This window comes from Homo sapiens, chromosome 18 (genome assembly GCF_000001405.40).
Source record: "Homo sapiens chromosome 18, GRCh38.p14 Primary Assembly".
Lineage (NCBI taxonomy): Eukaryota > Metazoa > Chordata > Mammalia > Primates > Hominidae > Homo > Homo sapiens.
The window spans coordinates 77,046,540-77,073,285 of NC_000018.10; the positions used below are offsets into that span (position 1 = coordinate 77,046,540).

General features: G+C 47.2%; 1 protein-coding gene across 18 annotated transcripts in view, besides 9 other annotated features; it reads right to left on the reverse strand.

Moving 5' to 3' along the window:
• The window catches only part of MBP (myelin basic protein), a 154,876-nt gene that overhangs the window by 67,707 nt on the left and 60,423 nt on the right, over nt 1–26,746 (reverse strand). For all 18 annotated transcript variants that reach the window (XM_047437533.1, XM_047437532.1, NM_001025101.2 and 15 more), the window contains one exon: nt 19,759–19,846. In XM_047437533.1, the coding sequence (XP_047293489.1) occupies nt 19,759–19,846 (88 nt within the window). The remainder of the gene's footprint in view (nt 1–19,758; nt 19,847–26,746) is intronic.
• Nucleotides 6,560–7,060: an enhancer, noted in NCBI's record as "H3K4me1 hESC enhancer chr18:74765055-74765555 (GRCh37/hg19 assembly coordinates)". NCBI's record gives its function as "activates a minimal SCP1, AML or CMV promoter by ChIP-STARR-seq in naive H9 embryonic stem cells {active_cell/tissue: H9 hESC(naive)}" and the evidence as "EXISTENCE:reporter gene assay evidence [ECO:0000049][PMID:30033119]".
• Nucleotides 8,166–9,067: an enhancer, noted in NCBI's record as "H3K4me1 hESC enhancer chr18:74766661-74767562 (GRCh37/hg19 assembly coordinates)". NCBI's record gives its function as "activates a minimal SCP1, AML or CMV promoter by ChIP-STARR-seq in naive H9 embryonic stem cells {active_cell/tissue: H9 hESC(naive)}" and the evidence as "EXISTENCE:reporter gene assay evidence [ECO:0000049][PMID:30033119]".
• Nucleotides 8,461–8,510: an enhancer, noted in NCBI's record as "active region_13519". NCBI's record gives its function as "activates an Ori minimal core promoter by ATAC-STARR-seq in GM12878 lymphoblastoid cells {active_cell/tissue: GM12878}" and the evidence as "EXISTENCE:reporter gene assay evidence [ECO:0000049][PMID:35858748]".
• Nucleotides 8,561–8,690: an enhancer, noted in NCBI's record as "active region_13520". NCBI's record gives its function as "activates an Ori minimal core promoter by ATAC-STARR-seq in GM12878 lymphoblastoid cells {active_cell/tissue: GM12878}" and the evidence as "EXISTENCE:reporter gene assay evidence [ECO:0000049][PMID:35858748]".
• Nucleotides 12,051–12,684: an enhancer, noted in NCBI's record as "H3K4me1 hESC enhancer chr18:74770546-74771179 (GRCh37/hg19 assembly coordinates)". NCBI's record gives its function as "activates a minimal SCP1, AML or CMV promoter by ChIP-STARR-seq in naive H9 embryonic stem cells {active_cell/tissue: H9 hESC(naive)}" and the evidence as "EXISTENCE:reporter gene assay evidence [ECO:0000049][PMID:30033119]".
• Nucleotides 16,675–16,764: an enhancer, noted in NCBI's record as "active region_13521". NCBI's record gives its function as "activates an Ori minimal core promoter by ATAC-STARR-seq in GM12878 lymphoblastoid cells {active_cell/tissue: GM12878}" and the evidence as "EXISTENCE:reporter gene assay evidence [ECO:0000049][PMID:35858748]".
• Nucleotides 18,180–19,379: an enhancer, noted in NCBI's record as "MED14-independent group 3 enhancer chr18:74776675-74777874 (GRCh37/hg19 assembly coordinates)". NCBI's record gives its function as "activates an origin of replication core promoter dependent on BRD2, BRD4, P300/CBP and CDK7 cofactors, and independent of MED14, by STARR-seq in HCT116 cells {active_cell/tissue: HCT116}" and the evidence as "EXISTENCE:reporter gene assay evidence [ECO:0000049][PMID:35650434]".
• Nucleotides 20,785–20,874: an enhancer, noted in NCBI's record as "active region_13522". NCBI's record gives its function as "activates an Ori minimal core promoter by ATAC-STARR-seq in GM12878 lymphoblastoid cells {active_cell/tissue: GM12878}" and the evidence as "EXISTENCE:reporter gene assay evidence [ECO:0000049][PMID:35858748]".
• Nucleotides 23,563–23,742: an enhancer, noted in NCBI's record as "active region_13523". NCBI's record gives its function as "activates an Ori minimal core promoter by ATAC-STARR-seq in GM12878 lymphoblastoid cells {active_cell/tissue: GM12878}" and the evidence as "EXISTENCE:reporter gene assay evidence [ECO:0000049][PMID:35858748]".

Genomic DNA, 26,746 nt, shown 5'->3' on the forward strand with positions numbered 1-26,746 from the left:
CCTCCAATTATCCTCCTGACAAACCAGCTGTCTTCCCTGCACCTCTGGTCTGGCAGCTGCAGGGGCAAGGCCAGGGCCGGGCCGACCCTTTCAGATGTGCCTGGGGAGGCTGGAGGAGGTAGCGACAGGTCCCAGTCCCCCGGAGCTATAAATGAGCATTGTGGTTCCACATTATTCCATAGTCTCTCCAAAGACTCGGTCCTTGTTCCTACGGCCCACCCTTCCTTCCAGATCAGCGGGAGAGGGCTCTGGAAGACGGGAGGGAAAGCTTTTGTTCTGGTGTAAGTACTGGCTTAGAGGAATTAAATTTAAAGACAGATAACTGGACTCTCAGGTTTCACTGCTGATCCAGTGACTGTCACCATCGGGAGGCAGAATCTCTGATGCCAGGAAACATCAGGGCCTCCATCCCTCAGCTGCCTGCAAGCTCCACATCTTCATGGAGAGGTCAACCAGGCAGCAGAGAGGATTTTTACCTCTGGGGAATGGTGTTCGATAAACACCCAAATGTGAAAGATAGACATGAAAAGGAAAGTCTAAATGAACAAACCTTGGAGCCGAACGTAACAGACAAAACAAAGGCGACCACGGCTGGGTGCCTGCCCAAGAGAACCGCAGACCTATGTCCACGGGAAACCCTGAACGCCAAGGCTCCGGCAGTAGGATTCACGACAGCCAAAGGGTGGCAGCCACCTGAACATCCGTGAGCTGATGCGTGGATGAACTGACGGTGATGTGCACACACGATAGAATATCCTCCTGTCGTAAGGAGGAATGCAGCACTAGCGTGCGCTACTCCATGATGAACCTCACCAGCATTGTGTGAAGTGAAAGAAGCCAGCCATAAAACACCACGCATTTACAGGAAGAATCCAGGACACGCAAATCCACAGGCATGGAAAGTAGATTCGCAGTGGCCGGGGGCTGGGGTGAGACGTGTCGGGGAAGAGAATGGAGAAGGACGTCTAGTGGCTCCAGGTGTTCTTGCTGGGGTGGTGAAAATGTTCTAAGGTTAGTTAACGATGGTTGCACAGTTCTGGGGATACACTAAAAACCGTTAATGTGTACACTGAAAATGGCTGAACTCTGTGGTTTGTAAATTATCTCACTAAGCTTGTTAAAACATAAAAGCAATTAAATCCATTTTCATTTTGCTGTTTTGTTGCTTCGACACAACTTTTCAACAAAACAGAAAATACATCAGAAGATAAAGATGGTATACTCAATCCTATTTTTAAGGCAACTGGGAGAACTAGAGATATATTTAATATTTAATTCCAAATGCTAGCAAATGAACTGATTATTTACCAGAACAGGCCAGTGAATAAGGTATGTATTATGCAATCAAGGAATTAGATCTATTAATCTTCAGAGGGAAATCCTGTGCAGAAATACAATGATATCATAGTACCACTAAGACCAATTCACCCCAAAGCTAGAAATCAAATAATTTTCAACAATGTGATGATTACGCAATGCCAGTAAAAAATAGGCTAATTATCAATTTTGGAATTAAACACTTAAATGAGCTAAGTGTCTGTTTTGACCCCCCAAAGCATCTCTCGTTTGACGCCCTTTTAATCTCCACTGGGAAGGCCCTCCTTCCACACACAGCACCCCAGCAGGAAGACAGCTGTAGGCAGCAGGTGGGCAGTCGTGGTACCTGCTCCTATTTCCTCATCTTTACCCGAAAGAGGACCTTGGGCTTCCAGCCCTAGCAGCGTTCTGAGGACTGTGCAGAGGTAGAAGGAAAGCTGGGCCATTGTCATAGGAAACTGTTTCTTTTATGATTAAGGATGTGGCGGTGGAAGGAAGAGGTCCAACTGGAGAAGAGAAAAATGAAAGCTCATCACTCATAGACCACTGTGCGAGGCCTTCTATTGGCATCTGACTTTATGCGTCCCTAACAATCTCTGCAGGTAGGATCTTTTTTTTTGTTGGCTTTTTGAGATGGAGTCTCGCTCTGTCGCCCAGGCTGGAGTGCAATGGTGTGATCTTGGCTCACTGCAACCTCCGCCTCCTGGGTTAATTCTCTTGTCTCAGCCTCCTGAGTACCTAGGATTACAGGTGCCCGCCACCACGGCCGGCTAATTTTTGTATTTTTAGTTGAGACGGGGTTTCACCATGTTGGTCAGGCTGGTCTCGAACTCCTGACCTCAGGTGATCCTCCCACCTTGGCCTCCCAAAGTGTTGGGATTACAGGCGTGAGCCACCATGCCCAGCCAATCTCTGTAGGTTCTATAATCTCTATTTTACAGATGGAAAAACTGAGGATCAAAGAGGTCAAATAAAAAAACATTAAACACACATGGATTAAGCACTAGGGTTGGGATTTGAACCCAGGTCAAGAATAATCTCTACGAGGGCAGGGTTTTTTTTTAATTTTATTTATTTTTTTGATATGGAGTCTCGCTCTGTCACCCAGGCTGGAGTGCAGTGGCATGGTGTCAGCTCACTGCCAGCTCCGCCTCCCGGGTTCAGGCCATTCTCCTGTCCCAGCCTCCCGAGTAGCTGGGACTACAGGCACCTGCCACCACGCCCGGCTAATTTTTTGTATTTTTAGTAGAGACGAGGTTTCACCGTGTTAGCCTGGATGGTCTCGATCTCTTGACCTCGTGATCCGCCCACCTCGGCCTTCCAAAGTGCTGGGATTACAGGTGTGAGCCACCGCACCCGGCCGAGGGCAGGGTTTTTAATCTGTTTTGTTCACCGATGTACTCCTGCCTGACGCGGTTTCTGGGGCATAAAAACTGTTCAATAAGTATTTGTAGAATAAGTTTTATTTCAAAATAATAAAAAGCCTTGATGCATGATGAAGATGGAATTTGTGTTGGAGAACATGCTTATAGCTGGGTCTCTTTCACACCCTAATTTATAGTCTGTTTCTTTTGGAATTTCTGCAAGTAGAGAGTCCAAAGCTATCTGAGGTAGCTGAAATGGGACCCGGAAGATTTGCCTCATTGGTTTGGGAGGAGTATTTTGCCTATTTGCATATTTCATGCTCAGATTTATTTATTATTAGGAAAAGAGTAAGGGTCATTACATAATTCTGTCGTTCTAGATCATTCCTTTTGGTCACATGTGGATTTATTTTATTTACTCATCATTGGATATGGATAACTATTTTATTTTTAATTTTTATTTTATTTTATTTTTTTTGAGATGGAGTCTCGCTCTGTGGCCCAGGATGGAGTGTGTGGTGCAATCTCAGCTCACTGCAACCTCTGCCTCCCGGATTCAAGCAATTCTCCTGCCTCAGCTTCCCGAGTAGCTGGGACTACAGGTGTCCATCACGACACCCGGCTAATTTTTGTATTTTTAGTAGAGATGGGGTTTCACCATGTTGGCCAGGCTGGTCTTGAACTCCTGACCTCAAGTGATCTGCCTGCCTCAGCCTCCCAAAGTGCTAGGATTACAGGCGTGAGCCACTGCACTCACCCCTAATGATCATTTTAAACTCCCAAAACAAAAAGCACTTTTGTAACTATGGAAACAAGTGCTATTTTCATTTTTTACTTAGTGTAGAGTTTGTCATTGCTGACGTTCTTGGTAGAATGTCAACAGCAAGGACAAAAATTACAAGTTTTCTTTGAGTAATGCTATTCCAAATTCTTGTTCATCTCTTGACTTCAAGAAATCACATGTCTAAAAATCATTCTTGTTCTATGGAAACGTTTCCAAACTTGTTCAGTTTTGACTCATAGAGACACATTTGGCAAAGCAATGTCTTCTGCTGACTGAGGCGCTTACTGGAGAAAGGCAGTTGCAAAAGCAGATACCAAAACTAAGTATTTTAAAATAATTTTTGGAGATAAACTAAAGCTCTGAAACACAAAACAGCTTGCTATTTATATTTTAAATGTTAGATTATTTGCTTTTTTTCCTATACAAACTTTGCTGAAGCCTGTAGCTTGCCACAGTATTAGCTGTTTACAAGGGCAGTTCCTTCTTCATTGCCATAACTGAGCTGTGTGCCTCGCAGGTACTACTGACTGAAATGTTCTATTAATTAATTTATTATTTTTGAGACGGAGTCTTGCTCTGTCACCTGGGCTGGAGTGCAATGGCGTGATCTCGGCTCACTGCAACCTGTGTCTCCCAGATTCAAGTGATTCTCCTGCCTCAGCTTCCCCAGTAGCTGGAATTATAGGACGTGCCATCACGCCCAGCTAATTTTTGTATTTTTAGTACAGATGGGGTTTCACCATACTGGCCAGGCTGATCTTGAACTCCTGAGCTTGAGTGATCTGCCCGCCTCGGACTCCCAAAGTGCTGGGATTACAGGCGTGAGCCACCACACCCCACCCTATTACCTTAGTATTAAGGAGCATGTCTTAATCATCTCAAGGGAAACCTCCTGCCACTCTCTCATCCTACCCGGGGCAAATTATTATGGTGTCCAGTTCCAGTCATGGGGACCACTAATTATAATATTTGCCTTTGGTGTTTTTGGTTATTAATGAAGACCCCAGGAAAAAGAAATGGAACATGAAGACATAATTTTAAAAGTAATTTTAATAAAAATATTTAGGTAATGGTAAACTTGAGGTAACATAGCATGTAAGATTCTATTATCTAGGTGGGCTCTTCCTGTCAGAGGAAGAAAGGCAGGACAGCCTTCCGGTGTAAATTTTATTATTGTGGGAAATGATTGCATTGTAGCCTTGAAATAAAAATGGCCCAGATACAAAAAGTCAACCTCATGAAACGTTCCCATTTCAGTGTGCCCAAATTACGAGGTTCTTACCTTTCACTTGCGGGCGAATGACGCGAGCATCTCTCAGTTGCTTTGTAGCTCTCTAATGATAAAATTAACCTACTTAAATGGTCACATCCACTGTTTATTTTAAAATCCACCCACCACTGTCGGCCTGGCTCACAGTGAATTAACCGTTCAACAGTTAAGGAGAGACTGCCCGACAGAGCCCACCTGGGGCTGCTTCTGGGCCTCTGCACTGGGCTCCTCCGGGGAGGGTGAGGTCAGGATCTAAATGCCTCTGCAGCAACCACACCAAAACTGAGACCCAGTGCAGAACTGGGGCTGAAGGACCCGATTTTCACTGAACTCTTATCACTAAGAAGAGTTGAGGGTTCTTCCACATGTGGAAGGAGAGCTTAGGAATAATAATTAGTAACACCTTTCCTGATACATCAAATTTAACACCTTCCAGGGAGAAGAAGAAAGGGCGGAATGAATATGGAAAGCAGTGGTGTGACAGTGATGGGGTTCAGTTTGATGCGTGAAGACCAGGGGTAGGAGCGTGAGTGGGGGTGCACTTTGCTAAACCTGCATGTAACAGTGGGCTTAATTTTCCCTTTTTTTAACACCTTGTTTCTTCAAATTACACAATGTTGATGCTAAAATGTTCTTTGTAGAAGCGAGGCCCAGCTCCTGAAGGATTCATCTGAGAAACCCAGGGACATGCCCTTCTCTCATTGGAACAAGTGGGAAAAAAGGCATCTTAAAAAAAGGTTATGGTGAAGCCGTGCGGCAGCACTGGAAGAGGATGAGGAGGCTGGAGAAGGCGTGTGAGTGCAAGCTGCCCTCCCGAGACTGTGCCCTCTGAGCCAGAGTCTTCCTCCGATGTGCCCAAGTCCACCCGACCAGGAACGGGGGAAGGAGCGGGGCGATCCAACAGCCACACAACAGAGTCCCAAGTTCCAATCACAAATTCAGGCTGTGAGGTGAAATCACAAATGTGAACTTTACTTATGGAAACCAAATAGAAGTGCTTTCAAATTGGGGATCCAAGACCCAACAGACATAAGTGATCAGCAGCATCCCGATCGGGGGGGTAAGACAAAGGGGTCCTTGGATGGGGGCACCTGTGAGCAGGGACCCCTTTGTCTGAGCTCCCCGGGTCCCGAGCTGGACGCACGGCTGCCCCACTGGCCAGAGCCCATCCCAGCTGCTATTTGTGCCATTGTAAGGTTTGTATTCCCTCTTTGTTCTGGGAAGCTTTCAGTTGTCCCATTGTGGCTGTGATGACCCTAAGTGACTCTTAGCAGTGCATTTTTATATTTGAAGGCCAGGATCGCTTAGGGGTAAGTGCACAGGAAACAAACTTGAAGCGAATGCAGCTATGATTTATGAGTGTTTGTGCTCACTGTATATCCCGGCAAGCTCAGAGGACCTACTCAGCAGTGTCCCCCACCCATCCACACGCTCACCTGGAATAATCCCCCACGGGAACACAGCCACTATCCTCGCCTTGGGATTTGTGACTCCTGATGGGAAGTACCCTGCCAGCCCAGCAACACCGGGCCTGAGTCCCCGAGCCCCCACTCCTCTCCACTCAGCAGGGGCCCCCTCACGCCATGTATACCCCCCGGGTGGACTTCAGGGGCGCTGTCCCTGTGGGCGCTGTGCCCTTGCCGTCCTAACCTACTCCCTCCTGTGGAGCCACTGGCAAGGTTTTGGGGAACATGGGTGTGAGTCCACGCTAGACCTCAGCTGCCTGCCCTGGATCATTTGAAAAAGGGGAACTTTTAGTTTCCTGCTAAATAGAAGGCCCCAAAAGAAGCCAACCAATGCCGTGTCCCCGTGATAGGCCAGCGTGGCTGTCCCAGAAGCAGAGAGGGGAACAGCACAGGCTCGCATGTCTCCAGGGAGCTCAACACCAGATGGCTTAGTGATAGGAGCCCTGGCTGAGGGTGGCCGCATCTGCAGTGACATGGCTGCTTCCCACTTCCCTGCACCTGTCCTCATGGTGGCTGCTTCAGGGGAGGGGTGGGCAGGGGCCCCACTGCAGGTCCAGCCAAGGGGCACACAGAAGCTGGACATTTGCACACTCAGCTGGGTCGGGACTGAGCTCCGTCCTCAGCCCCTGCAGCCAAGACGCCAGTGTCAGCCGGTATGCTCCGCTACGGGGGCTGGCTGTGGTTTCAGAGTCTCACCCTAATTCCAAAGAACAAAAGCATCTCTCGAGTTCCAGGGACATTTTGTCAGTTGGAACAGCATTTCTATAGTGTGCACCCCACATGCTATGTGCACACATCACAAAGCACACACGGGTACTCTTACACACACACACTCTGATGCACGAGCTGCGGGCACTTCTGTGCATCACTTGCTGAGCTGTAGCATAGAGGCAGAATTCCTTACAGGGAAGAGTTCAGGCCTCAGGCACACTGTCTGCTGGCATTTTATGTGGAACACTGCCATGTGCAAATGAAGTCTTTGAGACAGGAGAGGAGAGAGCAGCAGGGACGAGGGGTGTCCCACCTGTCACTCAGTCATCCAGCAAATATTGATGAAGCTCGTCCCATGAGCCGGGCCTGCGTCTAGGTGCTGGGATATCTCAGCGAACAAAACAGACAGATGTCCCTGCCTTCATGGGGCTCACTTTCCATCCGGAGTCGGGGCTCGGACAATAAACAACATAATCAGGGACTGTGACAGAGGTGACTGTACTGCCCCACTCTGCATCCTTCTTCCTCTTGGCCCCCTCCTCGAGGTGGGGCCACATGATGCTTCTGGCCATCAGAACTTGAGTGGACGCGATGACTGCCCCTCGGCCTGGTCTGCAGGGTGCTTGGCCCTTGGGCTGTCCTCCCGGTCCCTCCCCGCCCTGCCCTCCGATGGCAGAGACTCTATGTGGAAGCCACAGGACTCTCCCAGGCACACTGGATGGAGAGCCGCCTGGCCCTCGCTGAGCTATGATGTGAGTGGACATCACCTTGAGCCTCAGAGATTTAGGAGTTCCTCTGGCAGGCCTGCAGAGCCCACCTGCGCTGACACAGCTGCACTTCTAAGTGGGAGATGTCAACGAGAAGGGACATGGAGCGAAGAGCTCACCCCCGGATATCTGGGCAAGAGACTTAAGGAGGAGGGCAGAGCTTGTGCTTCAGCCACACCCAGGAGGCTGCGGGAGGGAGGGGCCGCAGGAGATGTGGTTGGAGAGGCCCCTGGGGAACAGGTGGAGGGGATTTGAGCAGGGAGCGAGGTGCTCAGCAGCTAGCTGGCAGGGAGAACCAACAGGGATGGATCAGGATGGAGGCTGGGACCCACTTAATCACCCAGGTGGGCAGAGGAGGGCTTGGGCCTTGGTGATGGGAGAGGTGCTTGCTAAGTATCAGAGCTTCCCTGGGTCCTTGGCACAATCAGCCATCAGTGCTCTCAGCAAAGACATAGAAATAGTGCTCCTCATTTTGTACCTGGATAAGGGGAGAGCTCAAGTTCCAATCCCTGTTAGCGGCGGGTGACACAACCATGCACACATCTCAAATTCCAATTCCTGTTAGCGGCGGGTGACGTCACCATGCACACATCTCAAGTTCCAGTTCCTGTTAGCGGTGGGTAATGTCACCATGCACACATCCTGTTTTCTCCTGCTCTGCCACTGTGATCTCCAGATGATCAATTTCATATTATCAGGAAAATGACCTTTGGCACAGAAAGCCCAGAGGAGAAGGTGAGGGACTTGCATGCACGCACACATTTAAATGTCAACATTCTATGGAATTCAGTATCATAAAGGTATGCAAACCATGGGAAGTAATCATGAGTTTGCTCTGGGAGGCCCCGCAGTTAGAAGGGAACCTTCTGGGCACGCACATCGTGGATGGAGACAGAGGAACGGCAGCGCCGCCTGCTGCTGCTGGGCCCTGCGTGTCTGTACCACCTTCTGTGGTAGAGAAAACAGCAGGCGGCTTTGCTGCAAACTCCAGCACAGCCTCTGTGTGGGAGGAGCAGGGTCAGCAGAAACCCAGAGGCAGGAAGGAGCTGAGCTGAGCTGGTGCAAGAGTGTCCTGCCCTGGGAGGAAGTGGCTTTGTACCAACTGATAAAATGCCCAGAGTAGGGGGCACATAACTGTAAACTTCTAGAACCCACATCCTCAAAGCCCAACCCCTGACCCAGGAGGTGCATGGGTGGCTGTTCCCTCCCAGCCCAGTGCCACCTCTGCCATCCTCCCTGGCTGGGAAAGATGAACTGCGCTTAAAATGGGCTCAGTTTTCTTTTTCCTTTCTTTCCTTCCTTTCCTTCCATTCCTTCCCTTTCTTTCCCTTTCTTTTCATCCTTCCTTCCTTTTCTTTCTCTTTCTTTCTCTCTCTCTCTCTCTTTCTTTCTCTTTTTTTAACCTAGTAATTGCTTTTCACATCTGCTGGTGGGCTGCTATCTTTCATAGGATAACTTCCATTATTGCTTTAAATAAGGTGGTGTTTGGCCTCTGTTTTGTTTTCAGGTAAAGCAAACTGCAATCAGGAAGCCCTCATTACAGACAGTGAGGTCATGACAAGAAAAGTTCATTCACACTGGAGAGTTCAACCCCATTGGAAATGTCTTTCCAAACACAGCTGGTGACTTTGCAAACCCAGACATTCCCAGAAACTCAGTGGTTCTAGAAACTTGCTTGGAATAATTAAGGTTTTAGAGCAGCTGTTGGAATTTTTAGAAAGGAAAAAAAGAAAAAACGAAGTGAGGCTCCCCCTCCCCGACTCCTCTTACACATCCCTGTGGCTCTGTGGTGTCACGGCTGAGCGTGCTGCGCTCCACTGACCGTGTGGATGAAGGGCAGGCAGCACCTGGGTGCATTTGTGCCAGCGCATGGCAGTGAGGCCGCTGGCAGTGCATTTCCTGTTATCCGTGACCCCGTGCGCCCGGGGCTGGGTCTGCAGAGGCTTTGGGGAACACACTGTTGCTGTCTCCTGTGCCTGGCCCGGTGTCCATGTGGCTCACAGGACCCATAGGGACCAGGTGCTGCTCTAAACTGGAGGCATGAACTGACCATTGGCCCAGACAGCCTTGCCATTCCCGTCCGGGGGATTAAACCTTGAACAGGTTTTGTAGGACTCTCAGCCCCAACTTCCTTGTCTCTAGAAAACTTGCCACTATGAATTATTTCTCCGTCCCTTTGAGACATCGGCCCTTTCCTGGCCTCTTGCTCAGTTCACTGCCCAGCTTTGTCTTCTCGAAGGACCCAGGAGCCTTTGAAATGTAACCAACAAGGAAGATAACACCCTCAGCTCCCAGTCCCTGCGGGAGGCAGGGGCCTAACTGTGGTAAGCGCTAATCTGCAAACATTGCTGGCCTGACTGCACCAACCGGCCTCCATCCGATGTCCTCCAGGACTCTCCCACCAGCTCACCCCAGTGCTTAAAAACCCTCCCGCCTTTCGTTTCAGCAGGGTGGAGTTCAGCTCGCTCTCTCCTACTGCAATAGTCTGGGATACGTCTTCCCTGCCTGTCTCACTCTCCCTGGGGTAACTTTTCTTTGACACCACTGAGTCCTCCCAGCAACCTGCAGCTGAGCACACAACCCCCCTCTGCACAGGGGAACCGAGTCCACAGTCCTAACTACCAAATGACATGGCCTCACTAAAGTAACTCCTAGAAGCCGAGACCTTTGTCCGACAGCTCTCAGGAGAGGCTGCCGAGGAGAACCGGCTTCCCACGTGCCCTGACCACGCCCACACCCACGGCGTGAGATTTCACCACTCAGCCGCTGAGAAGCAGGGGGTCTTTGGCCCAAAACAAACATCCTCTGAGACGGGAAGGAGGCATGTCCCCCAAGAACTGCCTGGGTACTACAATGAAGCAGGGTAAATATTCAGAAGTGTGTTTGGGTTTTTAATGATATAAAGTATCATTAACATTCACTTCAACGCACAGAGGAGAAGTAACTGTTACAGTGTTTGTTTTCACATCTGTCAGACAGACATGAGAACTGCCCTGCCCCTCAAGGAACCAGCTGCGGTCTCCCTGGCTGGCTGGGAGCACTGGGCTCCGATCCTGCTCCTGAGTGTCTGCCTGGCAGCTGCACCCTCATCTGACATGCAAGGCGGGGTCAGACAAGATAATCTGAATATTCCTTCATCCCCCAACTTGTGATTTTGTTTCTATGATTTATACCCAGCCCAAAGATGCTATTTCACAAAATGGGTTTTGTGGCTTGTCTAGACAGGAATACAAGGCCTCAGGCAGCCACGGAATCACAATTAGCGATCCATTCACACTAGCACCGAATATTCCCACGGAAAGGCCGTGCAGTGATTATCTCTAAGGACAAGGACTGTGTGTGAAGAAGGACAAGGAGAGAGGAGCTCCCGCGACTGCCAGGTCCAAATGGAATTTTACATCGGAAATGACAGCTACTTACTAAAGTCTTGTAGCTTAGTTTACTAACCTGGATGCATTAAATACACACATCATTTGAAAAATAGCATCTCAAAAAATGATTTTCTCATAGCCGTTTCTTGGAAACAAATTTAAACAAAGATGCAATGATTTAAAAAACCGCTACACGAAAATTCTGAAGGGGGACACCTGAGGAAGGCGGGGAGTGTTTTTTTTTTTTTTTTTTTTGAGACGGAGTCTCGCTCTGTTGCCCAGGCTGGAGTGCAGTGGTGCGATCTCGGCTCACTGCAAGCTCCGCCTCCCGGGTTCACGCCATTCTCCTGCCTCAGCCTCCCGAGTAGCTGGGACTACAGGCGCCCGCCACTACGCCCGGCTAATTTTTTGTATTTTTTTTTTTAATAGAGACGGGGTTTCACCGTGTTAGCCAGGATGGTGTCGATCTCCTGACCTCGTGTTCCGCCCGCCTCGGCCTCCCAAAGTGCTGGGATTACAGGCGTGAGCGGGGAGTGTTTTTTAAGTTCGGCAGAGGACACCCAGGGCTGCACCGGCTCTTCAGGGACCCTCCGGGGAGAAGAGGCATCCCCTCCCCAGCCCTGGACGTCCACCTCAGGGGCGGTGGGGATGCGGGGATGCGGGGATGCCGAGCGCTCCCAGGCTGGGTCACAGCAGGCAGTGGCTCCGCTCTGGCTTCGACTCTCAGGACCCACCTGGGACCCCTGCTCCACGCTGCGGGGAGGCCAAACCTGGAGAACCCAGGGCACCAGTTCAGGCTGACAGCCCGGCCGGACCCAGCCAACGCCCCGCACAGCTCGCCAGCCACGGGAGGGAGCGGCCTCCGGCAGACCCCAGCCCCAGGCACGACCCCAGGCCCGGGCACGACCCCAGCCCCCACCGGCTGATGCGACGCCCACAGGGGACGAGCTGTTCCAGCACCACCCCCGCCCCCGCGTGCAGAATCCTGAGCAACAGAAACAGCACTTTAAGAAACGAAATCGTGGACGCACTTGGAACACGGCCGCAGTGACTGGAATGGTGCCCAGAGCCATTTTAATCTGGAACAGACTGGGGACCAAGTCTCAAGCTCCAGGCCTGTGGGGTCAAGCAGCTTATTCCGTGGAGGGAGGAAAGTCGCAGGGGACCTGGAGGCCCTGGAGATGGGGGCTCCTCGGCCGGCCGACTGCAGCCTGGAGAAGGCCACTGCCAGGCCTTTAGTTTCCAGAGACGCTGCAGTTCAACATTTTCCGGGGAAAGTTTACCGTTTCCAAATGTCATCAAAATTAAAAGAAAACACCTCCACCATATGGACATAACGAGACCTGCCTGAGGGCCACCACATCCAGCCCTAGCCCACCAACTTACAACCCCCTGAGGCTGCCCCAAGATGGAAGCGTGCTGGGGAAATAGGCATATTCAGCCACGGGAAGGGCAGTTCGCCAGCACGAGTTCGGGGAAAATAATTTAGCCGTCTCACTTACTTTGACTGAAGCCTATTAAAACAATTAAAAGAAAGAAAAAACCCTACTGAAATCAAAGTGCCAACTGTAGCATGGTTTCTAGTAGCAAACTTGAGACAACCAAAATGAAAAGCAATAGAGGAATGATATTACTGTTCAATCATATGGAATATTAAGGAGCTATTTTAAAAGGATAATACAGGATCGCTAAACAGCCTAGAAAAATGTTGTTGGTTGAAAGATCAGAATTCAAAATGGAAAATGGGACAGTTATGTCAGGTAGTTGAATTATTTTTTAGTTCATCAATTAATCCCATTAATTAATTTTAATTATTAATTCAATTTGCTGCTTTATTAATTATAATGAATTTAAATTATAATAATTTAATTTTATAAAGTAGTCACTAATTATTTATAATTAATTTAATTCTAATGATAATAATTTAACCTTAATTACATTATTAAAATTAAAATTAATTAATTTTTATCTAATTAATCAAATTTGACATATGTGTAACACTATAAATAAATATATTTTTGCTTAAAAAATCAGGGGAATATTATTACAAGTAAAAATACACCAAGATGCAAAAGCAGACATGGATCTTGAGAAGCCATTTGGTATGTCCACTTCAGTGCTAAGTGCTTCCACCTGGTGGCCAATTCAAATAAAAATAGGGGCCAGCACAGATAAGAGATGCACCGCCTTCAAGAGGCTTGCATTTGTGGAAGAAAAAACACACCAAGTATGCAAATGCAATAACCAAAAGGCCAATGTGAAGGACATGAAATAAGGCAGTGGGATAAAGAAGTGTGGCATGGGAGACAGGCGGGCTTCTTGGTTAGATATGACAGGAACAGCCTCTTAGAAAAGTGATGTAAAGTAAAAATAAAGGCCCTAGCCCTCCAGGCAAGACGGAATAGACTCTTTGTGGCAATAAGATAGCAAATTATGGGCTGGGCGTGGTGGCTCATGCCTGTAATCCAGCACTTTGGGAGGCTGAGGCCCTCGTTCCATGTCCTTCTATGTTAAACCATCCCCCAAATGGTGTGAAGTCCCCAGAATGGCTGGCCCCGCCATTTCTCTATTTTGTTTTCTCTAACCTCCTGCCCTCTCTCTTCCACCTCCAGTATATGGCACGGCACATTGGAGGTGCTCAAAAATGATTTAATAAATGAATGGAGAAAGCACATAGGCAGGACATCCTAGTACCAATGATGAATGAGTGTTTATGGCAGATGTGACCCAGGTCCTCAGAGGCACATGAAAAATGCTAATGAACGGCAGCACTCATTATTCACTGTATGAACGTGGCTTCAAGCAGTAGAGATGTTAAAGCATCCTGTAATGGAGTATAACTGTTTTCTCTCTCTCTCCTTTTTTTTTTTTTTTTTTTTATGAGGCGGAGTTTTGCTCTTGTTGCCCAGGCTGGAGTGCAGTGGTGTGATCTCAGCTCACTGCAACCTCTGCCTCCTGGGTTCAAGGAATTCTGCCTCAGCCTTCCAAGTAGCCAGGATTACAGGTGTGCACTACTACATCCAGCTAATTTTGTATTTTTTGGTAGAGATGTGGTTTCCCCGTGTTGGTCAGGCTGGTCTCGAACTCCTGGCCTCAGGTGATCCACCTGCCTCAGCCTCCCAAAGTGCTGGGATTATAGGCATGAGCCATCATACCCGGCCAAATTGTTCTCTCAATGGGCCCTTGCAACAATTCTTGAGGGTCAATAGGAAACCCTGTTTTCTGGAGGAGGAAACAGGCACAGAGAGATGAAGTCGCACCCCCAGTTGCATTGAGAGTTGATGGCAGAGCCAATGGTCACACCTGCCTGTTTCCCAGGTGGAGTCTGTCTTCTCTTGAGGCTGCCGCTGACCCTCAATGGAACACAGGCACGCAGTGCCTCAGCAACCAGCCGCTCAGAACTCCTCCTGGGCCTTTCTCAGAGCCTGGGACCTGGAACTTTGTGCTATGAAATGCCTATCAAAGTCCTGGCTCTGGGAAGGGACCCCAAGTTCTTGTAATTCTGTCTGTGGATCATAGCAGGTCCTCTGATGGCTAGACACAGGGATCATAGGCTCTTGGCTTGCAATGCGGAAGATTCATGTTGCACCACTGGCCCTTACTGAATTCTATTACAATAAATAACTATACAAAACTAATCTCCACATGTGCTATAAAAATACCTTGAGGTCGTTGACTACCATGTGACTCTTTGTCTGTGATAAAAATTTAAGCAGGAAAAATTCTTAGTATTTGTTAAACAAAGCTCTGTATGCTTCAAAAAATGTCTGCAGTCTTCTCTCTGAAAATACTAGCCAATGTTTACTGAGTACTGTGAGGAGATGGGAGAGTCCCACACGTGCACATGTGTTGTTTCTTACTCACAGGTCATTTTATGATTACCCCTACTTACGTATGGGGAAACCAAGACACAAACAGAGGAGTTCATTGCTAAAAGCACACAGCTAAAAGGTGGTAGGGCTCTACCACCTGCTGTGTAAAATGAGAGACTTCAGGCTGGCCGGGGTCCCCTTCCACTTGGGCAGCTGGGCAGCTCAGAGTGAAACGGGCGGCTCCCTGCAGCCATTGTCACATGGTTGATGTGTTTGTGGTCTTCCTTCACTTCATCTAGACTTCTCAATTTTATTTACATTTTACTGTTTCCTGGTGTTTTTTCCTACTGTCAGCTAACTCAAGCTTTATAAAATAAAGAAGAGTGAAAACACGCACACACCAATATATGTACTTAAATGTTTCTGGGATGAATACTTTTTAAATAAACATTAAACACAGATATTTCTATCTCCATTGTCTGAGCAATGAAGTTGTGAATGTTTTCCTCATGACTCTTCATGGGGGTTTGCCCTTACATGCTGTGCACACAGGACTTGGCCCTGTGAAGTGGACGCAGTGAACACAGACGCGGGCTGGTGACGTTTTCACGGTAGGACATCCATCCTCTGTGGCACATGTGGAGTGAACTAGCTTACACATGACACGGAGTCCACATCCCTCCAGCCCTGTCTTTGAGATGCCTGTCCTGGCTGAGAGGAACCACAGTCAGTCACCGGGGCAGTAGTGCCCTCTTTTGGCCACTCCTCTCCTCCCTTAGTATAATTTAGGGAGACCTAAGACTTCGCTCACCTCAACTGAATTGCCTGCCTTTAGTTTAGCCCCACGATTAGTCAACTCTGGCGGGAGAAGAGGTGGAGACTGACTCCTGCCTTCCTTCCCGCCTGGTTTCTAAGGAGGAGGACAGTGTGTGCACTACCTGTGGGTGTGTGGGTCAGAAAACGCTTAGCAGCAACTGGTCTACTGAAAAATGGCCTGCTTCCCCAAAGCTTGGACAACGCCCAGTTCTCTAGGTTGTCGTGCCTTAGAGTGTTTTCTTCCTCCTTTTGTAACTAGGCAAAACAGTCTTAAGCATAACCAGAAAGCTGTCGAAAAAAAAAAAACAAATCACAGAAGATATTTGAAAGTGTGCTCTAACGAGTTATTTACTTAGATTGAAAACAATCCTTTGGTGAGATTTTTACCAGAACATGAAGGGCAAATAAAACTTCAAAGTGGATTGCTAAGAGAATGACTGGCTTTGGCCTTCACAGAGACGAGGAGGAAGGCTGCGTGGTTTTAGTTGTCTGTTTGTGGTTTTGAGCACTCAATGTGTGAACCATAGCAATAGCACCTGTGCCAGAGTCAGCACCTGGCACAAACTTCTCAATGCGCCAATCAGTCTTAACTCGGGGACTCTCTTATCAGCTGAAATACAACACTATTGCCTTTCGACGTTCACAGAGATCTTAGGTATGCGTGTCCTGCAGAGTGGTTAGCTAAGGATGATGGCTTTCTGCCCATTTCTCACATTCCTCGCTCATTCTTCTGATGCGTGGATGAAACGGCTGCCAAGAACCTAGAGATGACCATCACACGATCACGGTGACTTGTGCTCACGGGACATCAGGAATGGTTTCCCAACGTACTGATGGGATTTACTATCATGTCAAGGAAAGACCTTTTCCTAAAGTAGGTGGGAGCTGCTGCTCTCATTTAGAGTCACTTTATACATTACAATTTTAAAAGAAATTGCATATATGCCTCCAAGGTTATACAGCCAAGACTAATAGCCAAGATTATTTTAGTTTCTTTTCCTTCAGCACTCTGCGCCTTTAGAGTAGAGTTCTGTGTGCCCCAGGAAAGGGTCAGGCATGGGAAATTATTAAGGTCAATAGCAAAAGCCCCACAGTTCAACAGGCCCTTCCAGGTCGGCATCACTTGGGATTGTTGCTGCTAAATAATGCGTGCAGAGGCCTCCTGGGCCAGCCTCCCCTAGGGTGGATGAAATGAGGATGCCTGGACCACAAGCTCCTCCCACTTCCCCCTTGGTTTTGACTCAACCTGAATCAGGCATCAGCTGCAAAGGCCTGAAGGTGACTCTTGAGAACTGCTTCCTCGGCACACTCACGGGCAGAAAGGCTTGGAATGTGGGAGCTAAGTTCATTCGGCAGATATGCGAGCCTTGCTCCGGTGTCCAAGGACCTGGGAACACCTCAGTAAACACAACAGGCAGAAGTATTGCTCTTCCTATCAAAACACAACCCACGTTTGTGAAATGATGGAAATATTCTGCATTTCCATCATTTCCAGTAGTTTTCACATTCAATCCTAGGTAATAACTCTCTAAACTCAGTATCTCTTGGAAAAGATTAAGGAGGGCTGCGTTTGGAAGGGCTTCAGGAATGATATCATCTTGATAGCGTAAGGAAAGGGCTAAGTATAGAAGACCTTTTTATGTTATATTGTATCCATGCTGTATATATACCTATACATATGTGTGTGTGTGTGTGTGTGTGTGTGTATGTGTGTATTTGATGGTAACAGAACCGCTGCCATCGTTACGAATAATCTCAAAAGCAATTAGCTAGGGGAATAATGATAAAGATGATGTTTGCTTAAAAAAACAGTAGGCTTAGCCAAAATCATTCTAGAACTCACTTTTATTTATGTGTAAAACCTAAATTTGGACATTTGTCTTCGTGCTTTTCTATTACGTCTTTATATATGTAGCTGAAATGTATGAGTAAAGAGATCATCTAAATGAATTTTTATTCTAGAGTTTTATAGGCAGATTTATTCTTAAAACCATCAAGGCTGGGACATCCCATTCAAACTCATAGATTGTCTATTCTACGAAACCCTAAGTGTTCTCCAGAGTGCACGCTGCTGCTCCTAGTCATGGACGCGGCTGCCTTCAACTCCTTCCTCTTCTTCCTCTGCCACTGAGGATGGAAACCCCAGTACCTGAAGGCGGTGAGTTATGCTCAGACATGCCTCCAAGAAAATTCCTATAAAGAGCATAATAAAGTATGCAGAAATCAGCAGAGCACTGAGTCCCTTTTGCACTTGCCTATCTCCTTTCTAGTAAAGGAGTCCTCATTGCTTTCAGTCTCTGGGCCTTTGAGTTATGTTGATTTTCATGGACGCTTAAGATATTGAAACAGTCGGTAGCACTAAATCTGTTTTATGTGTGTTTGCTCAAGAAGGATGGAATTGTAGAAAAGAAAGGACTTTTGAAAAAGAGCAAGTTAATCACGAACAAAAAAAATCGGCATAAATTATCTTGTCTAACAGCTGAAATATAAAGAAAGGCCTTTCCATAAATAAGCAAAGATCATGCTAGGGAATGTGGCCAGGAAGCCTGTTTGCCTTGAATGTTGTCTGTAACCTACAGGGTGGCCTGATCTTGGGGAAAGGGATGCGTATTTTAGTAGCCACAAAATCACTCCTTTTTCCTTCGACCTATAGTGAGTTCTCAGGATCTGAGCACATTTCATTCCACCCCTTTTCCTCTTTGCTTTAGGAATAGATGAAGAAAATCAAAGAGCTGTGCACAGCAGAATAGAACTGCTTTGAGGACCTGCATAGCCCTGTGGTCTTGGGCAAGTCACTGAGCCTCAGTGTCATGATGGGACGAGTGGATCCAACCTCATTAATGTAAACCTCAAATGAGAACATGGTCAGTCACTCATAGGGGAAGCAGAAACAAAGATGAATGCTAAGATTATATCTTGGTTCATTTTCTATTGCTATAACTGAATACCTGAGACTGGATAATTTATAAAGAAAATAAATTTATTCCTTACAGTTCTTGAGGCTGGAAAGTCCCAGGGCATGGCACTGGCATCTGCTCAGCTTCTGGTGAGTGTGCCATGACGTGGTGGGTGGCATCGCATGGTGACACAGATTAAGAGTTGGCTCAGGCCTCTCTTCCTCTCCTTACAAAGCCACTGGTCTCATCAGGGGCCCCACCCCAATGACCTGATGACTAGGTCTCTGCTCCTAGTTACATCCCAAAGGCCCCACGTCCAATTAACATAGAAATTTAGGGGGTTAAGCTTCCAACACACGAAATGTAGGGGACACATTCAATCCACAAAAATATGTAAAGGCAATTTATATTCAATAAGGCAATACAAAAAAGTAAAATTCTGAAGACAACAGTTATTTCCCAATGCCTTCTGAGTCACTCTTTGTGGTTAAGATAAACACCGTGGTATCCAGGCTTTGGTGCAATTTCATTTCCTCATTAGCTATTTTTTACAAACACTGCTAGGCTTCCCGATGCTCACACAGGGCTGGACAAACAGACGATCAGAGAAACACCATACAGTGAGCCTGGGAAATGCTGAATGTCTATGTGTGCAACAAGGCATGCGAGCAAAAACAAAACCGAGATGGGAAGGGATTGCAGGAGGGGAGGAAGGGGCTGTATCTGCCACGTATCTACACAGCCGACATTTTAATTTTTTTTAGACAGCGTCTTGCTCTGTTGCCCAGCCTGGAGTGCAGTGGAGCAATCATAGCTCACTGCAGCCTCGACCTCCTGGGCCCAAGTGATCCTCTCACTTCAGCCTCCCAAGTATCTGGGGCCACGGGTGCATGCCACCACACCTGGCTAATTTATTTATTTTATTTTTTGTAGAGACGAGGTCTCATTGTGTTGCCCGGGCTGGTCTTGAGCTCCTGGGCTCAAGCGATCCTCTTGCATAGACCCCATGAAGTGTGCGATTACAGACATGAAGCAATGATCCCAGCCTCTATGTTTTAGTAATGAGTACAGACAGATCCATGGATCACCCATGCAATAAAAAAATCAAAGGCTTCCCCGAGTGAGAGTGCAGGTGCACGCTGTCACCATGTGGCGCCATGTTGCCGATATCTGCGTCACCTACCGAACACTTCGTTGTCCTCTGAGGTTGTCCGTGAAAGTTCACCCAGGTTTCTCTTTTTTTCAGATTCTCCTCTGTTAGTTTCACTATTCTGGAAAAAGAAAACACAACAAACCCTTTTCTTAAGATAAATTGTTTTATCAACAAAATAATTGTAATGCATTTGTCTCTTTATAAATTTTTTATCAGATAATCAGTTTCACATCTGTTTTCAAGATAGAATATAGAGCCTTGGTTCAGAGGAGGGTTTTCTGCGCAGGATTCGGAATTCTGGCTTGTTTTCTCTGCCTAAGCACCTAAGCACTTTCTGGACCCAGTTGGTATAGTTTTATACAAAAAAATTGGAATATCAGCCTAGGTAAAATAAATTAGCTACATGCCATCCCATTTATTCCAAGGGTGAGCCCACATAGTTACTGCTTTAGATTCTAAGTGACACTGTGCGGCAGAACTGACGCCAGGCCTTACTCCTCCAATGACACCTTTGGCTAACTGGAACCAGTCAGGACCACTTTGATGGGAGAATGAGTCCTTTTAGGGACAGAAAACGAAGCTGATGTCCGGAGGCACTTTTGCATTCCAGGGGAGGAAGCGGCCTGTTGTGGTGTTATGGGGTGGGCCAGGCCCCCTGGCCACTCCTCTGGGAATCTTCGGCTTCAGAGTTTCTCCTCTGGGCCTCCCTTTGCCTGTCGTTTGGGGCCCGAATGGCAGTGTGAGCTTGTTTTTCGAGTTTAAAGTTTTCAGTACATAGTTTGATCACCAGTGCAGAGAGAAGACATGGTTCAGCTTCCTGATATATTTGTAATCAATTTTACTTAACTATTTTGAAATGTCACACTTGCACATTGAATGATTCAAATGCTCTAGAAAGTGCACAGTGGCTGCGTGCTGAAACCCCGGGGTCTCCTGGATGCCCCCCCGCCCCCTTCTGGGAGGCAGCTGGCATTTCCAGCTCCTTCCAGACTTTGCACAATCATCTGGGCACCTTCAGACAATGACACATGGGTATTCTTTTCCCTCCTTTCTGTCTTCACATAAATGGCATCACACTGTGGATGATATGCTCCTTCTTGCTTTTGCCAGGGAAAGAGGGATCCTGGAGGTGACGTCATGTCGGCACGCACAGACTGCTTGCACAGCCCGCTAGCATTTCAGTTACTGTTCACACCTCACCAGGCTCCACAACCACCATCCAGCTTGTTCACATTTGTGTTTTTCAACCCTAACCGTGTTGCACTAATTTCCTGTTCACTTCTCAGAATGCACATGGCCAAGGAGTATTTCTGGAGGAGGAATGAGTCACACTGGAGCTTTCACTGAGCGGGCGTCAGTGCTGTGGGCAGCCGCGCTGGCCCTGGTGCTACCCACCAGCAGCACCGGGAGGCTGCTTCTCTCGGGTGCCACTCCCTGCAGCGCCCCACCCTGGTCTCTGCACTTAAGTTTGTACCAATTTTCCACCCAATCTCTCATTTCCTGGGAGCCTTTAACCCAGGACCATAATATGTACATAGTCTCAATTTTACATTCTTTTCCTTCTGGAGAGAGGGGCAGGCACAGCCATTAAGACCACCCTGAAGTCTGATTCAGACCTAGTGTGACTCACTTATGTACTGCAGGCTGTTTGTTCCTGGAGAGAAGTCCAGCCCTCTGAGCTCACACCAGCCAGGGCCCTACACTCCGCCTCCTGGTCACTAAGAGCCCTATCTGGAAACCCTCCATCCCGTGTGTGTGTGTGTGTGTGTGTTTGTGTGTGTGTGTATCCATTCCCATCCCTGGGCAGACAGGAGGGGATGGGTGGGTAAGGTCCCCACCAACCAATGTTTACGGCATTGTTTCTACAATTCAATGCTGTCTGGTGTGATTAACAGATAAAAAACACACGGGTTATTGGACTCACAAAATTGAGGAGGGAAGAATTTGCCTTCACGTTGTGAAATTAAATTGATAAGAGGACACTGGTTTGGACTGAGCTCCTGCACTGGGCCCAGCAGACGCCCCCGTATGAAGTATGGTACCAAGCCCAAATGAAGATCTTTATTTGACCTTCTGAGCAATCAGGAGAGGTAACAGCCCAACTTCCAAGCAGGCCAGGTTTAGCCCAGATGACGAGGAAGTCCCGTCTGCTTTAACCTTTATGGGGAAGTCATCTTGGAACCACCACACATCCGCCTGCATTTTGTTCTCTGTGTCTGCTTTCCTCAGTCTGTTTATAAACCAACCTCCTCTGCTCGGCTCATTGGAGCACTCATTCTGTTTTGCAGAAAGAGGTGTTGCCTGATTCTAGAATGACAAATAGCAGCCAATTAAGGTGTTCACATTTGTTGTAACTTTGTGTACACCTGCCAGGCTTCTGTTGCTGGTTGGCCGCTGTAGAAACCAAGCTGCTGCTTTCCAGATTGCGAGTCACAGAGTCCCACGAAACAGTTACTAATAAGCAATGAAATGCAGAGAATGTTCAAACTCACTAGTAATCAGAGAAATACAGAGCGAAACAAAAATGAGATTTCTTTTTAACACAAGTAGAAAACAAACTGATGTCTGGCATTGCTAGAGATGTGGTGGGAGGGAAACTTTCCTGGGACTGGAATAAACACTCTCAGCCTCTTTGGGAGGACAAAGAGCAGCAGCCGCCACCACGGAGCTGAGCCTTGGGGGCCTCACCTCGGGGACTCTGACCTCACCTCGGGGCCTCTGACCTCACCCCCATGGCTTCCAGGCTCCCAGCAGCCTGTGACTTCTGCGGATTTTCCTGTGTCTCTATTACAGAAACTCCCAGAACAGTCCATTGTTTTATTCCCCTCCCTGTGATGCGGTGAATACTGTGAGAACAAGAACAGTGCCTTACACACCTTCCCAACCCTCAGGCCTAGCACAGTGCCTGGCGCCCAGAGAGAGCTTTTTAAACATAGTTAAAATGGATTGTTTCTGTTTCAGCAGAGGGAGCCAAAGATAGCTGGCTATGTACACTTTTCATATCTATCCAGTTAATTTCAGAAGACACTAAAACTTGGAAAATAAATAATTTCCCGATAGTCTTTCCTCAGCTAGGAATTCATGTCATATTTTTTTACATCCTGCTTCTATGCTAATAGGAGATCATATTCTTCACTAATTACAAAATAATAAGTGTTATTTAAGAACTAATTAAGTACGATTCAGCTACCGTCGTTATTGATCATAGATGCATTTTCTTCATGCTTAATGTCTCTCCAAGCGGGACACCACTAGGACCAGTAGTGTCCTCCCATTGGCGTGGGAAGCCCTTCTCACCGGAGAGTAGAACAATGCCGCATCTTAGAAATGAGGCGTTTCAGATGCAGAGTGAAAGCTGATCTTTAAATCACAGCACTTTGCTTTAAGTGCGTGGCGGGGGATAACCTAGCGGCAGCCACTTCCCTGTATCCACTTCCCAGGCTGGTTTCGAGGGTGGGGGCAGCATAAGCATGAGGAGGAATTTTGTGTCCTGTGCGCCAGCTTGTGCACACGTTGGTCCCACAGCTATGGTGCGTCCACTCTGTTTATCCCTCACACCAAAGCGGCCACAGGTGGACCCTGAATAGTGATGGCAGACAGGACTCCAAATCCGCCTTTTTCTCCACCTTCTCAACTCAGTTCTCTGATGGTTCAACATCTCTAGGTCATACAGGGACACAGGACGCGTGCAGAAAGTACATACGGGCCTGGGAAATTTCATGACTAATTTCTACTCAAATATAAGGTTTGTTTTTGAGACCCGATATTGCTATTCCAAAAATATAAAATATTCCCCTATGATGAACACATTTCCTGTAAGCAAAAGGTCTACTCGCAAAACAAATAATGCAGATGATGTGTCAAAAGTGAGGTGATTTTCGTGATGATAAAACAAGAGCTTCCTGCAGACGGGGCTCAGACTTACGAGAGGGGATGGGTCCTGGCAGCTCAGGCCCTCCCTGCGTCATTGCCCAAAAGAGTCCAAATCTGAGTCCAAACGGAACCTGTGACTGCACGTGTCGACACGCATTTCAAGCAAGGGTGCCTCCTTCATACTATTTGTAGCAATTTTCTTTTTCATCAGCCTAAATATGTGGGAGCTGACCTATGTAAGAATCTGTTTCTTATCCATAACAATTTTAGAAGGTGTGTGGGAATTTGCTGCAGAAGCCCCAGGAAGGGAACACATTCCCCTATATCGTAAGGAGCACAAACAGCTCGGGACATTACCACGTATGGTGAAAGATGACAGAGAAAAAAGTGTATTTTTTTGGAACAAAAGAAATGATAGTCTCCTGATCTATTATAAACCAGTGATTAGTCTCATTTTCTCTGTGTGTAAAAACACAAAAACTAAAAACCCTCTACCCAGCCTTGACCTCTAACCCTTAAGTGTCAAGCTTTCCCTGGGGGTCAGTGTGGCCCTGCACGGGGCTCTGGGGCAGGTGACAGGAGGGGCCCTGGGAACTCGAGAGGTCCACCCTCTCCCGCCACTGAATTGTGGAAGCGCAATTCAGTTTTCTTCATCAGAACCGAGTGGAGAAGCAAAGGATGGCATGGAGTCAAACTTCCCAAAGCCAGTCACAGCCAGGACGTCGGCGGGCGGAATCCTGGTTGGTTTTGAGGACCCCGCTCAGGTGCTTGTTCCCGCGTAGCTGGAGTGTCCAGCCAAGTGTGAGAGATCTCCTACCTGGTACAGCTATTCATGTACGTGCACACATGGCACACACGCACACGCACATTGTAGGTGAAAATACGCTTATAATTAGCCTTACATTTTTAAAAGATTGGTGGTCTGGAGGTGGCAATTTCAGGAGGAATGGCCCAGAGGGTAAGTTTCTAATCATCACAAAAAAGGCTGTGAGAGAGGAAAACACTTGCTTCGTATTGGTACAAACATTATACAGCATATTCTTAAAGTCCTGATTCAGACTAGAAACTGCTTATCAGGAGAGGAAGGTGTTGAAACATGTTACAAAGTGACTCTCACCTGCAAAACCAGTTGTATGTTAGACTCGGAGTCATGGTCCACCACAGGCTGCTGTATTCAACACATGTAAGAGTTGATTTTGAGAATTTTTCAATCCCTTAAAAAATGCTGCATTTCCCTTAAAAAATGCTGCATTAGGAGATGTCCTAAGCTTGTCCAGCCCATCTTATTTTGTTGTTGCTCTTCTGTTTTGTTTTGTTTTAGGCTTTTAGCAACCTGAAGCCATGGTTTTTAGTTTCTGTCTCTAGTGATAACCAGAACAGAAAGATGAGGAAGGGTCTTTACTGACCCAACCAGGGACAGAAACTAAGAATCCATGACTGTATTCTCTCCTTGGACACTTGAAGCCTTGAGTGGAGAATCACTGGCCTGGAAGCAGATAAAAGTCTTGTCTGGTTCTGCATCCTCAGTACCTTGCCACTCACCCACTTGTTCCCACCCATGCTTGCACCAAACCCTGCTCAGGAGCTGAGCATACAAAGAAAATAAGGTAGGAAGCCAAATTGGGTGCTTCAAAAATAAAGCTAGAGAAGCAAGCCCAGAATGTCAGATGGCGACTGTCCAATTAAACTCGGTGAGCCAAGCCCTGTCCATCACACTGGAGAGTGTCAATGGCGTAGGAAGTGCACCGTGTTTATTTTTTCTGAGATTTCCCAGAAGAAAAATTACAGTGATTCATATTTCTAAAATTCCTAGGATGTTTAACAAGAGAAGTTGCAACTGTCTTCCCCCTTCTGAATCTTATACTCGACTGACCTTATTTAAAAAACAAAACAAACAAAAAAGCCCAGCTGAAGCTTCCTATGACGTCACAGGCGACACAGTCATATGTGGCACCTACATGCCAGCTGCTTGGCCTTTGAAGGCTCAGGATCCTGCCGGCGTACACACCCCTCCGCCTCCCCTCCCCTCCTGCCTCATAATTCTTATCTCATTTCTATGCACAAATCTGAATATGGCCTGGTGTTTCTCACAGCACCACACATATTTTGAGCCTTAGGTCATTTCAGAGGGGATGCTACTAAAAGGCAGATATTTCTTTAAGTTTTCTTTACCTTCTGCCATATTCCCTGCCGTAGACAGATCTAATTCACCCAGATATTTGCAGAAAATAGTTTGGGGGCATCAGGATCTGCAACACATGTACGTCGTATCAAAATCATTATTCGCATGACAGCCAAGACCTCGGGCTCTCTGAAGCTGATTGCCTGGGTAACAGGGAAAATAACTGAGTTTTCTGTACCTGTTTGCTCAGCTTTAAAATGAACATTATAATCATACTTTTCTATGTGGTCATCGTGAAGAGCATTCAATAAGTGGAAACTGCTCTTTGCAGAAGCACACAAAACTATTGAAAATGCAGATCAGTAGCATCTTAGCTTCACACTGTTATCAGAATAAGCCCTTATTTTTTCTCAGAACCATCAAAGCCACTTCTCAGGGGCTCTGGCCCAGGACTCCTGGTGTGGCAGCAGAAACAGTGGGATGTAGTGCCGCCCGCAGCGCAGTTACTCAAAGTGAGATCTTAAGCGAGTCAAGCTCCCTCCACCTCAGTATCCCCAGGAGGACAGTGGTCCCCATCTTGCGGCATCATTATGAGGACTGCAAATGGCACATTTCTCTGGAGGAAAGCTCACTGCTTTTAGGACGCCTGGCCTGTTCAGCCATTGTCAGCAATGGTCAACCCTCCTTGCTGGCAGCAACGTGTTCTTTCTGAATCTTCGCCCACTGCCATTGCCCTGTCTTAGATTCCTCTCCAATTAATCCACACCAGAGATTTCTAGGATTTCTAATGAAACTTTAGTTGACAATGAATACTTCCAAATACTTTGTCAGGATCCAGCATCTGTTCAGCAAATTTCATTTCCAATCCAGAAAGTCAAAGATATCAGGTAGAGGTTAACTGGCTTATTTTTCATCTTACATATTTTTGCTCTCTTTAAATTTTTATAAGTATTTTATATGTATATATATAAAAAGACTAGATTATAAAAGGAATTTCAGCATCATCTAGTTTTACAAAGAGGG